The following is a 15,074-nucleotide window of genomic DNA, read 5'->3' on the forward strand; positions in this document are numbered from 1 at the left end:
CCTCACAAGTCCTAAGTGCCATTTCTGGGTACTGGTCATGGGCCTGTTCTGAATTATTTTGCAAAATGGGATCCAAACCAAGAATCTTTACTGTGATAGTGGTCATTTATCATTTTGGCATTTGTCAAGCATCCATTTCCCTTCAAAATAGTATCCCAGGCTGGGCATGTTGGCTTATGCCTGTCATCCCAGCATTTTTGGAAGCTGAGGCAGGAGGATTACTTGAGCCATGGAGTTCAAGACCAAACTGGGCAACATAGTGAGATCTCGTCTCTACAAAAAAAAAAAAAAAAAAAAAAAAAATGGCTTGGTGTATTAGTCTGTTTTCACACTGCTATGAAGACATACTACCTGAGACTGGGTAATTTATAAAGGAAAAGAGGTTTAATTGACTCACAGTTTCACATGACTGGGGAGGCCTAAGGAAACTTACAATCATGGTGGAGGGGGAAGCAAAAAAATCCTTCCTCACAAGGTGGCAGGAGAAAGAAGAGTGAGGAGGAAGGGGGAAGAGCCCCTTATAAAACCATCAGATCTCATGAGAACTCACTCACTGTCATGGGGGAAACCATCCCCATAATCCAATCACTCCCCTCCCTCCATATATAGGGATGTATAGGGATGACAGGTCCCTCCCTCAACACGTGTGGACTGCAATTAGAGAGGAGATTTGGGTGGGGACACAGAGCCAAACCATATCACCTGATGTGGTGGTGAACACCTATGGTCCCAACTGCACTAGAGGCTGAGGCAGGAGGATTGCTTGAGCCCAGGAAGGCAAGACTGCAGTGAGTGGGGTTTGTGCTATTACACTCCAGCCTGGGCAACAGAGCAAGACCCTGTCTCAAAGAAAAAAGAACAGCATCCCAATTTCCTTTTGGGAAATAAAGCCTCCCTCATTTTCTGCAGTTGGTAACTCCTAGCACCTCTCCCTGGATAAGCCCAGCTCCTCTCTCCCTGTCCTAGTATAGACAGGGGCAGCCCACAGAGTGCTTTTTGCTGTGAGCTGCCCCACATCAACAATATTCTTCTAATCTTTTCCTTTGGTTATAAGTCGGTGAGAGTCCATTTCTGTTGCTTGCAACCAAAAACCCCACTGATAAAATTCTTATTCCTTCCCTTCCTTTCTCCCCTGCTCCTCACTCCAGGCTTTCCTCCAAATGCCACCAGAATACAGAACAGACCACATGGTCAGAGGAATTGCACTTCTATAGAGTTTGAAGTGAGAAAGCAGCACATGCTCCATAAACAGGCTGAAATCGAGGTCCCTTCAGCTGCAACTGAAATGTTACAAGAGAGACAGATCCCACGGTGGAAACCAGGCTTTGTAATGACAGAGCCCCGGATTCAAAATCCTGCTGTATGACCTTGTGCAATTACTTAGTTTCTCTGATCATCAGTTTCCTCATAAGTGTACACACACACACATACACACATACAAACATTTTTTTTTTTTTGAGATGGAGTCTCGCTCTTTTGCCAGGCTAGAATGCAATGGCGCAATCTCGGCTCACTGCAACCTGCATCTCCCAGGCTCAAGCGATTCTCCTGCGTCAGCCTCCTGAGTAGCTGGGACTACAGGTGCGCTACACCACGCCCAGCTGATTTTTGTATTTTTAGTAGAGACGGGGTTTCACCTTGTTGCCAAGGATGGTCTCGATCTCTTGACCTTGTGATCCGTCTGCCTCGGCCTCCCAAAGTGCTGGGATTACAGGCATGAGCCACCACTCCCGGCCCACATTTTTAAAATAAAAGATATGTTTTAAGTAATTGGCTTACATGATTGAGGGGGCCAGTAAATCTGAAATCTTTTACTTGAAGTCAACTGACTTGTAGATGGTAACCATGTCTACAAAATGCTTTCACAGCAACACCTAGATTCATGTTTGATTACATAACTAGGTACTATAGCCTAACAGAGTTGACTAAGAAAACTAACCGTCACAGAGATCATAACACTACTTTGTATCCTTGAGTATTAAACAAGCTAAATGCTTATAAAGTACTTAGCACAGTGCCTGCCATTTATAGGAACGCAATAGGCAGTAGACTCTTTTCTAACAAGCGTTTGTTAGAAAGGCATTTTCTGTTAGCAGAGGCAGGAAAGGATAATATAATAGCATTCATGCAATGTGCTGGAAACCAGGCTCTATCCTAAGCACTTTATAAATATTAACTGATATTTACTGATTTTATTTAATCCCCCAACTACCCTAAGAGTTAGGTAATCTTATTTAGATGAGGAAATAGTGATCCAGAGAGGTTAAGTAAATTGCCGAAGGTCACACAGCCAGCCTGTGGTATGCCAGTAGGCAAGTAACTGCCTCTCTGAATCAGGCTGCCCATGAGTGGTCTCTGCAGCATGTATTACCCAAGAGAATGTCTTCCCAAGTGTCAACTCCAGTTAAAACCTTGAGATAAAGTGTGCCCTGCCCTATCACTTTAAGGAAAACTCCACCCAATCCCACAAACATGGCCAGATTTAGTTGCCAGTATATTTTTGAAAAATATTTTAGGGTAGAATATCACACCCCCACCACACTCCCCCCTCTACTCCACCATCTCCCCATGATAAGAAAAAGCCAACACCTTTCCATCTAAGAAAACTTGGCGGAGGTCCCTCCCCACACACAAAGAATGGCTGCTTCTACGCACTTCTATCAGGAGCGTCGTACAACTAACGAACTTTCCAAACAAAGAAACAGCAAGTCAGAAATAAAATCATGTGCTAATTGTGGTTTTCCTGGAATGGATGACTATATAATATTCTAATCAAAAAGCTGGAATCACATTTGCGTTTAGACAAGGCTTGTTAGAAAAATACATGAGAATAAAAGGAGGCCGTAAGACCACGGGTGCTTCTCCCAAGGCCAGTCATTACTGCTCAGGGCAGGCAGCCAGCAAGTGGGAAGTTGCCCAATTTTGGTCAAGTCCAGAACTCCAGGGATGCCCCCTTGTGTCCACTAGCTCTCTTAGGGGCCCCCAAATCCTACTTACACTACGGCCACCTAACAGCATTCAGGCAGCTCCCATATCAGTTTGCAGTTAGCGGGAATCCTCTCCCACAGCAGGTGTTCTTTTTTCCTTTTCAAAACCATGCTGGAAATTTAATATTCAGTAAAATAGAGTGCCATGATAATGTTTAAAATCCGGCCAGGTGCAGTGGCTCATGCCTATAATCCTAGCACTTTGGGAGGCCAAGGCAGGCTGATCACTTGAGTCCAGGAGTTTGAGACCAGCCTGGACAACATGGCAAAACCTCATCTCTACAAAAAATGCAAAAATTAGGCAGGGCACGGTGGCTCACGCCTGTAATCCCAGCACTTTGGGAGGCTGAGGCAGGTGGATCACCTGAGCTCAGGAGTTGAGACCAGCTTGGCCAACATAATGAAACCCTGTCTCTACTAAAAATACAAAAATTAGCCAGGCACAGTGGCGGGCGCCTGGCTAATCCCAGCTACTCAGGAGGCTGAGGCAGGAGAATCGCTTGAACCTGGGAGGTGGAGGTTGCAGTGACCCAAGATCACGCCACTGCACTCCATCCTGTACAACAGCAAAACTCTGTCTCAAAAAAAATAAAATAAAAAGAATACAAAAATTAGCCGGGCATGGTGGCACTTGCCTGTAGTCCCAGCTACTGGGAAGGCTGAGGTGGGAGGATTGCTTGAGCTCAGGAGGTCGAGGCTGTAGTGAGCCATGATTGCACCACTGTACTCCAGCCTGGGCAACAACAGAGTGAGACCCCGTCTTGAAAAGTGAAAAAAAAATTAAAAAATAAAAAATTAATAAAATAAAATTAAGAGTCAAGGAATTTCTAACTGTGACTGCTTTTATTTGGGTGGAAAATAATTCCAATGTAACAGGTATGGGATCATAAACATATAGGAAGACACCCCCAGGTGTGACTTCCTCTTGTAATAAGGAACATCTCAAACAGGCCATGGGCCATGCATGCTAGGGTAAAACTGTGATGTACACAAATCTAAACTTGCTAGAGCTTGATGTTTTCCTTCCATCTTTCCTTGCTCCTTCTTGATATCAAATTTTTTCTATCCTCCCCAGAAACGGGGCCCCCGGGTCTAGAGATTGGGATCTTCTGGTTGGGCAATGGCTCCTCTACAAGGCAATTTCAAAAGTCATTCTCTATTCTGTACCAAGTGGTGGAGATTAACATTTCAGACAGGCATGATCCCAGATCCTGAGGATTAATTTGGTAGTGTTTGAGTGATATCTACCGGTTACGCCCTGGGGTTTGGCTGTCTCCCTTGTCTTTATCTGTCAATGTCAGTGTCAAATTAGGGAGAGAAAGAAAATAGGACAAGCCAAGGGCAGCCTTTCTGGGAGTTATGCCAGGCTGGCAAGATGAGGCAGACAGGGCAATGTGCTAGCAGGTCACGACTGGGTCAGATGATAGAGAAATGGGGTGTCTGCAGGGACACACATGGGACTTTGGGTTCAGAGGACTGAGCTAAGGTCAGAAGTTGGGGAGGTGAATTGGAGTCTGTGTTCAGAAATCCATACTGGGTATGATGGTGTGGTCTGAGCATGACAGACAGGCCAGTCACAGAGAGGAACAGAATCAAAATGCAACTCCCAGGCCTGAAGATGGGAAAAAAAATGCAGCGTATGAATAATCGTCACACACATTTCATTCATTGGTTCTTATCCCTGTCAACTCCTTCAGAGCCACAAGGCCCCTGCAGATACTCCTGCCCCACCTTCCAGTCACTTCCAGGCATCCAGAGGGATTCTAAAGGGATGGCCTCACAAATGGCTGCTGTGGCCCCGACGAACACATGCTTCGGCACTGATTGCCTCTCCATGCACCACCTGCCTCCCATGCACCCAGGCAAGGTGCCGTGTGCCCAGATGGCTGCAGTACCCTCTGCCATGCTCACCACCTCTCCCAGGCCTTCCCACTGCAGGCCATGTCTATATCTCTCTGCCTGTGGGCTTTCTGTGGTGACGGGACCCCACCCCCTCTTCACACAGCAGGATGCAGGAGAATTCACAGCCCCTCTAGCTGCCCCAGCAGCAGCCCCCAGCCAATGACTGAAGGAGTTGCTGTAAATACCCCACCTTCCTCATCCCTAGGACAAGGTCAATTGAAGGAACATTTCTACATGGGCCTTCAAGGTTCCCCAGGAAAACTAAGCTACAGTTGACCACAGTGGTAACTTGCTTGATAATGCATGTCTTAATGGCTGCTTTTCCTTCCCTGTCCCACTTTCCTATGTCTTTACTGGTGTTTCCCAATAAATTACTTGCACTTGAATGTTTGACTTTGGCTGTGACAGTCTAAAACATTTCCAGCCTATCTCTCTGACCTCCTACTGTTGATTCTTCACACGGCAGCCTGAGTGGTCTTTGTAAATTATTTATTTATTTATTTATTTATTTATTTATTTATATGAAAATAGAGTAGAGACAGGCTCTCACTATATTGCCCAGGCTGGTCTTGAACTCCTGAGCTCAAGCAATCTTCCTGCCTTGGCCTCCCAAAGTGCTGGAATTACAGGCATGAGTCTCCATGCCCGGCCCTGAGTGTCCTTTGATAATATCAATCAGGGCAGATCACGTCCTTGCTCAAAACTTTCCAAGAATAAAAATGCAAAACACTTCCTATGGACTGTGAGGTTCTGTGCAACCTCTGTGATCTGGCCCCTGCTCTACCTCTCCCTTCACTCCCTCTGCTCCAGCCACAACGGCCATCTCGCTGTCCTTCAAACGCTCTGAGTTCTCTCCTGCCTTCAGTCTCGTGTGCCTGCTTTTCCCCTTCCTGGAGAACTCTGCACTTAGACCTCTGAGGGGCTCACTCCTTGTCAATGTTATTCAAGTGTCAGCTCAAAAATCACCTCCTCCAAGAAGCCTTTTCTGACTACCCAATCTCAGATAGCCCTGTTCTCAACCCCCTGCCCAGTTAGTCTTCAACACTGATGACTACCTAAAGCTCTCTTGGGTATGTATTTGTTGACGTGTTAATTTTATGCCTCTTGTTCTCACCCTGGTGCCTAGAACATTGCCCAACACATAGTAGGCACTTGATAAATATTTGTGGAATGAAGAATGATCCAAGCAAGAGAAGAAGAGAAATTAAGACAATGGCAATAGCAATGGAGAAGAAGAGATCAATTGGGAAAATATATAGGGGAGGGAAGCAGTGATATCAGATGACCTATTAGATATAGAAGGTAAGGGAATGGAGGCTGACACCAAGCTTGAGAGCCTGCAGGGATAGGGATGCCATTCACCACAACAGTGAGTGCAGGAAAGGGCCAGGCCTGGAGGGAAAGATGGTGAGTTCATGTGGACATGATGCATGTGAGAAGTCCATGAAATGTCCAAATGGAGATGTCCAGCAAAGGGTTAAAAATATAGGTCTGGAGCATCAGAGAAAGGAGGAAACTAAAGATTTGAATCTGGAAGGGGTCAGCAATGTGCAATTGAGCCTGTGGAATAGAATGACATCACTGGAGGAAAACATTAGAGAAAAGTTTGCAAACTAAGTTGCTTTCAGGGACCAAGAAAATAATTCAGATGAGTGAAGTAGCTCAAATCAGAACTATAAAGAGTGGTGGTTAGTGCAGTGAGAATTCAAAATAATATCTGCCTTCTTGAAAGACTTTCATAGTAAACGTTATTTAAACACTATGGGGGCCAAGCAAAACAGGTCTGGTGTAGGCCACTAATGTGAGGCCTTTAATGTAGAATGAGAAGTTTCCCTGTGCTACTAGACCCTGAGAACACCAACATTTAATAGGCAGGCATAGAATAAAGAGTTTCCAAATGAGACTGATGAGGAGCAAGAAGAGAGGTGGGGTAAACCCAACAAGAGTCATGGTGCAGAAGTCAAAGAAGTCAGCATTATCAAATGCTGCCGATGGGTCCAATGGAGTGGAATCCAAAAGGATCCCTGGATTTAGCCAGAGGGAGTTCATTAATGGCAAGAGCAGGAGCAATGTCAACAGGAAGGGAGTGGAAGACAGAAGCCAGGCACAATTTGATGAGAAATCCATGGAAAATGAGGATGTGGCAACAGTAAGAGGATAGGCCATTCTTTCAAGAAGTTCGTCAGTGAAGGAGAGGACGGGGACCCAGTAATTTCATCCTGGATATGCAACAGAAATGAGTACTTGTGTGCAAAAAAATGTAGAAAAAATGTTGATAGTAGCTTTATTTATTTATTTATTTATTTATTTATTTATTTATTTATTTATTGAGACAGAGTCTTGCTCTGTCACCCAGGCTGGAGGGCAATGGCACGATCTCGGCTCACTGCAACTTCCACCTCCCGGGTTCAAGTGATTCTCCTGCCTCAGCCTCCTGAGTAGCTGGGATTACAGGCACCCGCCACCACGCATGGCTAATTTTTTTGTATTTTTAGTAGAGATGGGATTTCACCATGTTGGCCAGACTGGTTTTGAACTCCTGACCTAAAGCGACCCGCACACCTCAGCCTCTCAAAGTGCTAGGATTACAGGTATGAGCCACTGTGCCCGGACAGCTTTATTTATTTATTTATTTATTTATTTATTTATTTATTTATTCATTTATATTTTTGAGGCAGGTCTCACTCTGTCACCCAGGCTGGAGTGCAGTGGCATAATCTCGGCTCACTGCAACCTCCATCTCCAGGGTTCAAGTGATTCTCCTGCCTTAGCCTCTTGAGTGAGGTTGGGACTACAGGTGTGCACCACCACACCCAGCTAATTTTTGTACACAACGAACTCAGCTAGGAAGCTGGAAATACTCTGTATCTTGGATTTGGGTGGTGGTTCCAGGGGTATATACCTATGTAGAAATTCTTTAAGCTGTACACTTAAGATTTGTATAAACATAAGATGTGTGTATGGCTGGGCACGGTGGCTCATGCCTGTAATCCCAGCACTTTGCGAGGCTAAGGCGGGTGGATCACCTGAGGTCAGGAGTTTGAGACCAGCCTGGCCAACATGGAGAAACCCCGTCTCTACTAAAAATACAAAAATTAGCTGGGCATGGTGGCACTTGCCTGTAATCCCAGCTACTCGGGAGGCTGAGGCAGGAGAATCACTTGAACTCTAGAGGCAGAGGTTGCAGTGAGCCAAGGTTGCACCATTGCAATTCAGCCTGGGCAACAAGAGTGAAACTCCGTCTCAGAGAGAAAAAAAAGATGTGTGTATATAATACTTCAATTAAAAGGTGAGAAAATAGGCCAGGCACAGTGGCTCACGCCTGTAATTCCAGCATTCTGGGAGGCCGAGGCAGGTGGATCACTTGAGGTCAGGCGTTTTTTTAATTGTTTTTGTTTTTCTTTTTGTTTTTTTGAGACGGAGTTTCGCTCTTCTTGCCCAGGCTGGAGTGTAATGGCGCGATCTCGGCTCACCGCAACCTCCGCCTCCCGGGTTCAAGCGATTCTCCTGCCTCAGCCTCCTGAGTAGCTAGGATTACAGGCATGTGCCACCACCCCAGCTAATTTTGTATTTTTAGTAGAGACGGGGTTTCTCCATGTTGGTCAGGCTGGTCTTGAACTCCCGACCTCAGGTGATCCGCCCGCCTCGGCTTCCCAAACTGCTGGGATTACAGGCGTGAGCCACCGAACCCGGCCGAGGTCAGGCGTTTGAGACTAGCCTGGCCAACATGGCAAAACCCCATCTCTACTAAAAATACAGAAAATTAGCCGGGCATGGTGGTGGGCGCCTGTAATCTCAACTACTTAGGAGACTGAGGCAGGAGAATTGCTTCAACCCAGGAGGCGGAGGTTGCAGTAAGCTGAGATCATGCCGCTGTACTCCAGCCTGCGTGACAGAGAGAAACTCCGTCTCAAAAAAAAAAAAAAAAAAAAAAAAAAAAAAAAACCACTGAGAAAATAAAGGAGAGAAAGAAGACATTTGGCTGAGGAGGAGACTGGGATTTTCTTTTAGAACCAGCTCAGTTCCTGCTTTAGGTCTAATGTTAGAGCTGCTGTGGACATTTTGGCACAGAAGAAAAAGTTGAAACAAAAAAAGACTATCACAAATTATGTATGAATTACAAGGGAAAAATGGTAACTTTATTTATTTATTTTTTGAGACAGTCTTGCTCTGTCGCCCAGGCTGGAATGCAGTGCCATGATCATGGTTCACTGCAGCCTTGAACTCCTAGGCTCAAGAGATCCTCCCACCTCAGACTCCTCAGTAGCTAGGACTAAAGGTGCACACCACCATGTCCAGCCAATTTTAAATTTTTCTGTAGAGACGAAGTCTCACTTTGTTGCTCAGACTGGTCTTGAACTCCTGGACTCAAGTGATCCTCCCACTTCAGCCTCCCAAAGTGCTGAGATTACAGGCATGAACCACTGTGCCCAGCCCAAAACAGTAACTTTATAGTAGAGAAAAAGCAAGAAACCAAAGCTAATCTCACCAATACTAGAGCAAACTGACATCCTGTGTCCACTGATAGGATGTACTGGGAAGGACACAGTATCATTTCAGTGGTATTTCTGTCAAAAATACAGAACCTGAATTTTATCATGAGAAAATAATAGACAAGTCCAAATTTAGGTACATTATACCATATAACTGGTCTTAATCTTCAAAATGTCAAGATAAAAAAAACACAAAGAGGGCCAGGTGCAGTGGCTCACGCCTGTAATCCCAGCACTTTGGGAGGCTGAGGCGGGCGGATCTTGAGGTCAGGAGTTCGAGACTAGCCTGGCCAACATGGTGAAACCCTGTCTCTACTAAAGATACAAAAAATTAGCTGGGCGTGGTGGCAGGCACCTGTAATCCCAGCTACTTAGGAGGCTGAGGCAGGAGAATCACCTGAACCCAGGAGGCAGAGGTTGCAATGAGCTGAGATTGCACCATTGCACTCCAGCCTGGGCAACAGGGTGAGGCTCTGTCTAAAAAAAGAAACAAAGAAAGGCTGAGAAACTGTTCCAGATTAAAGAAAATTAAAGAAACCTGATAATTTAAAACAGTATGTATTCCTGAAGTGGTTTTTGGACCCAGAAAACATCTGTAATGGGCATTATTGTGATAATTGAAAAAATAATTAAATATGAACTATACATTAGGTAATAGTCTAGTATCAAGTGTAAAATTTTTTTGATTTTGATAACTACTATGGTTATATGGTTGTCCTTAGGAAACATACACTGAAGTATTTGGGAATAAGGGGGCATGATGGCTTCAACTTGCTTTTTTTTTTAAGAGATGGGGTCTCACTATGTGTCCCAGCCTGGGCTCAAACTCCTGGGCTTAAGTGAGACTCCTCCCTCAGCCTCCCGAGTAGTTGGAACTACAGGCATCAACTAACTTTTTAATGGCTTAGAAAAAATGCAGAGAGAGCAAGTGAGTGAAAAAGAGAAAACAAATGGGACAAAATGTGAACAATTGGTGAATTTGAGAGCAGGTTATATGGGAATGCCTGGTACTATTCTTGCAACTTTTCTATAAGTCAGAAATTATATCAAAACAAAAAAGTATCAAAAATAAACAATACTCCCCAGACATGGTGGTTCATGCCTATAATTCCAGCACTTTGGGAGGCCAAAGTGAGAGGATCAGTTGAGCCCAGGAGTTCGAGACCAGCCCTGGGCACGTGAGACCCCTTCTCTACAAAAAATTTAAAAATTAGCCAAGCATGGTGGCACTCATCTGTAGTCCCAGCAACTCCAGAGGCTGAGGCAGGAGGATCGCTTGAGCCCAGGAGCTCCAAGCTGCCATGAGCCCTAATAGTGTCACTGCACTCCAGCCGGGGCAAAAGAGTAAGACCCTGTCTCAAAACAAACAAACAAATCAAAGCATGACAATTTAATAAACAAAAACAACATTGTGTCTCTATAAAGTTTTTTAAAATTTTTAAAATAAGATGTGGTACCTTTGATATAAAAGGGAAGGGCCCAGGCCAGTCTTGTGAAAGCATAAAGAAAAAACACCCTTTCTCCCAGGGCCACATGCCTTTCCCAGCTTGAATCAGGGAATGAGAGAGGCACCTGGGTCCCAGCATTCCTGGACAAACAAACAGAACACACCAGACAGCTAAAGGACCGCAGCCCTGGCTTTGGGGATTTCTTGGTTATGGCATTTCAGAATTTTTGCCAGTAATAATTGTCCAAACACACACACACACACACACACACACACACACACACAAGAACCTTGCCACAAGGGACTAGCTTGAGACTAAGCTATTTTCACCTTGGAATGATAATATATCAATCAGTGCGGTCAAGGTCACAAGCTTTGGAGTTTGTTTTTTTCTGGGTTCAAACTCCAACTTTACCACTTGAGAGAAGGATGTCCTTGGGCAAGTCCACTTGATCTCAGTGGATTTCACCTTACTCATCCTTAACACAAGGCTTTAGTAGTACCTATCTCACAGAGCCATTGTGAGAAATAAATGAAATAATGAATGCCAGGTACTCGGCACTATCTCTGCCTCACAGAAGGCACTCAATAAGTGCAAACAAATATGTAAAAAACAGTAAAATGATTCTAGGAGTTAGATGTGTTTCAAAAGCTGGTTAAGGGGCTGAGGACTTTCCTAGGAATAACTTGTGCTCACCGAATATTTACTCCATGCCTGTCACATGGAATATTTGATCTCATTTAATTTTCAAAACCACCCAATGAGTCAAGTATTATTTGTATTTTACAGACAAGAAAATAAGATCTAGAATGGGTAAGCTGTTTGCTGAAAGTCCCCCAGCAAATAAGAGTTGGATTATTCCAGAGCAAGCTTGTCCAACCCACAGCCCACAGGCCACATGCAGCCAGGAGGGCTTTGAATGCAGCCCAACACAAATTCATAAACTTTCTTAAAACATTATGAGGTTTTTTGTGATTTTTTTTTTTTTTTTAGCTCATAAGTCACTGTTAGTGGTAGTATATTTTATGTTTGGCCCAAGGCAATTCTTCTTCTTCCAATGTGGACCAGGGAAGCCAAAATATTGAACACCTTTGTATAAGGCAACCCAGTTTGGTGCCAAGACAAAGAGGTTGAGGGATGATATGAGCACCATCAAATGTCTGTCTTCAAGACTGTCCTTCAACTGGTAACCTAGAAGGTCCCAAGTCTAAATGGGGATCAAGTGAGTTGGGCCAAGTGGGCTGCAATGGCTTTTGAAGGAAGCCAACCAAAGCTATTGCCTAAGATATCCCAGCCTGGGTTCCAGAAGCTTAGACCGCAACCAGTGATGACTCCAAAATGGGGCTGGCTGCTACTGGAAGCAGTACCCTTGGCACAGATAGAAAAGTTGTCAGCAATGGGCACTGGCCACCTTAGCATGGATGCTGGCGGGTACCAGCAGCCATGCGTCTTCTGCTGATATCAGCAGGAAGCACCTGGTGACAAGCTGAAGTCTTAGAGCAGGAATTTGGAGATGGAGGGCTTGAGGGTACGGATAAGAGGACCAGACTAGGGGACACCTATCAACACCACTGCCAAGGACTCTCATCACAAAGGGGGAAGTGGAAGCAAAGCAAGAAGAGAACTACTGCTTGGTAAGAGAACTGCTTTTTTTTTTTTTTTTTTTTTTTTGTCACCCAGGCTGGAGTGCAGCTGCAGGATCTGCGCTAACTGCAACCTCTGCCTCCTGGGTTGAAGCGATTCTTCTGCCTCAGCCTCCTGAGTAGCTGGGACTACAAGCAGGCGCCACTACGCCTGGCTAATTTTTGTATTTTTAGTAGAGACAGGGTTTCACCATATTGGCCAGGATGGTTTCAAACTCCTGACCTCATGATCTGCCCACCTAGGCCTCCCAAAGTGCTGGGATTACAGGCGTGAGCCACCGCGCCTGGTGAGGACTCCATTTTCTACCCCTAGGCTAAAGAGCCTGGAGGATTATAGCTTACAGAGCAGAGAAGAACTCTGATACTCATACCTGCATAGTGCTAGCTAGTCAGTAGACAATACTTAGATAATTCATTTTCTGATTTCTGACATTAGTGAGAGGTTGGGGTTTTGTTTGTTTAATAACAGCCTTCATTTAGATCTTTGCAAACAGCCTTGAATGAGGAATGTCCTTATGTTTCAGGGAACATATCAGGCCTGGAAGCAGCTTTTTTAGGATAAAGCTCACTCATTGAACTTCAAATGCACTGACTCCAACCATTTCCTAAAATAAGGAAAATCTGTCTGCACAGACGGCATTTTCACTCTCCTGAATGTTTTCTGTTGGTTGGTTGGTTGGTTGGTTTTATTGGTTGGTTGGTTTTGATACAGAGTGATACAATATCATGAAGAATATTAGTCAGAAATGGGGCACAGGTCTCAAGCAGGTCTTGGGACCTTGGGCTATTAATCTTTCTGGGCCTTAATTTACTTATCTATAACATAAAAGGACCTTAATATATGATTGAGAAGGCCCAAACCACCTTTAAAATTTAGATCTGTGTCTCCCCATCAGACCTCTCTGGAGACACAGGATCTTATTCAACCTCACACAGATTCTTGGGTTTCTGCCATTCACATCTACATTGAAAATTCTCCCATAAACTTTATACAAGTCCTTATGGAATCATTAAAGCTTTGCAAGAAAACAACAGTACCCATTATAAAAGCCCAAGAAACAGAGAAGAAAATCATGTTTTATAACCCAAGAAATCTGTCCAAATCCTAGAATTTTTCTTCAGAGTACATCACAAGAAGGAACAGTCTCTTCCTTCCTAGTGGGAAAGTCAGGGTTTCTTTCATTTCCACCTTGTTCGCTTGTAACCGCTCTCACCAGGCAAAGTTCTGAGCAAGTGAGATGGACTCATCTCGGAACTCCAGGCTGTGTTTACATAATTGGTAAAAGAAACATTCCAATCCCATTCCTTCGTCAGCTCCGACAGACCAACCAGCATCCCCCTCCCACTTGCCACTTTGATAGGGGTGACTGGTATCTCCATCTCCTTATCTTTGTTGATCATGTTTCTGGGTTTCCAATTGCGTCAATTTAACTGGTTGCCAATAATTCTGTCATCTGAGGGGAAAGCAGAATCTCAACTGAACATGCAGATGTCCTATTGAGACTTTGCCCATAAGGGAGCGTCTTTGGTGCTTAAAATTCCATCTTTTGGACCTCATATCAGTTGATGTTTTTAGTTGCATCGGAAACCAACTCTAAGTGATTTAAGCAGGAGAGAAAGTTATTTAAGGATATTTATAGTTCACAGAATCTCTGGAGGAGCGGGGGGCTAGAAAACCAGACTTGAAGACTACACAGAGAGACTCCGAGTCCCCCTGGGACTGACCTGAGATGACCAGGGAGCTGGTATTTTTAGCTTCCAGAGGTAAATAACAGCCTTCACTTCCATCAAAACTCATTAGGTAGAAAACACACCAAACATGGGAAAGGCGTTCCGGAGCTGGGCTACCAAAGAGAATAATAAATGTTCACTATAGTTTCATCTTCTAGTTTTGTACCATCCCTGAAACATTTTCTTTTTCCTCCAGGAGCCTCAAAATTACAGTTAAGTCTACAGTCAGACAGAAGGAAACTGGCATTTATTAAACACCAACTTTGTGCCTGGAAGATTCACTTACAATATCATAATCTTTACAATAACTCTGCAATATGGATCTCATTATCAGCATTCTTTTTTTGTTTGTTTGGTTGGTTGGTTTTGGTGGTTTTAGTGTCAGGGTCTCACTCTGTTGCTCAGGCTGGAGCATGGTGGCATGATCATAACTCACTGCAGCCTTGAACTCCTGGAATCAAATGATCCTCCCACCTCACCTCCAAGTAGCTGGGACTACAGGCATGCACCATCATGCCCAGCTAATTTTCTTTTTCTTTTTTTTTAAGAGGTAGGATCTTGCTATAATGCCCAGGTTGGTCTCAAACTCCTGGTATCAAGTGATCCTCCCATCTTGGCCTCCCAAAGTGCGGGAATTACAGGTGTGAACCACTGCACCCAACCTCATTCTCAGCATTCTTATTATGTTTTGTCTTATTATCCTCCAAGGATAGGTTAAGTAATTGTTATGGGTTGAATTGGGTCTCCCCAAAATTCCTATGTTAAAGTCCTAATCCCAGTATCTCAAAATGAAGGTAAGGTCTTTATAGAGGTAATCAAGTTAAAATGATGTTATTAGGATGGGCATTAATTCAATATGACTAGTCTCCT

At 44.3% G+C, this 15,074-nt stretch overlaps 1 long non-coding RNA gene across 1 annotated transcript in view; it reads right to left on the minus strand.

The window, feature by feature from the left end:
- Positions 12,516 to 15,074, minus strand: part of LINC01992 (long intergenic non-protein coding RNA 1992) — a 62,784-nt gene continuing 60,225 nt past the window's right edge. Inside the window, exons 4-5 of the long non-coding RNA NR_146896.1 lie at positions 14,199 to 14,317; positions 12,516 to 14,067 (exon numbers count right to left, since the gene is read on the minus strand). This is a non-coding gene — a long non-coding RNA (long intergenic non-protein coding RNA 1992). The remainder of the gene's footprint in view (positions 14,068 to 14,198; positions 14,318 to 15,074) is intronic.

The sequence above is a fragment of the Homo sapiens genome, chromosome 17, assembly GCF_000001405.40.
Source record: "Homo sapiens chromosome 17, GRCh38.p14 Primary Assembly".
Classification (NCBI taxonomy): domain Eukaryota; kingdom Metazoa; phylum Chordata; class Mammalia; order Primates; family Hominidae; genus Homo; species Homo sapiens.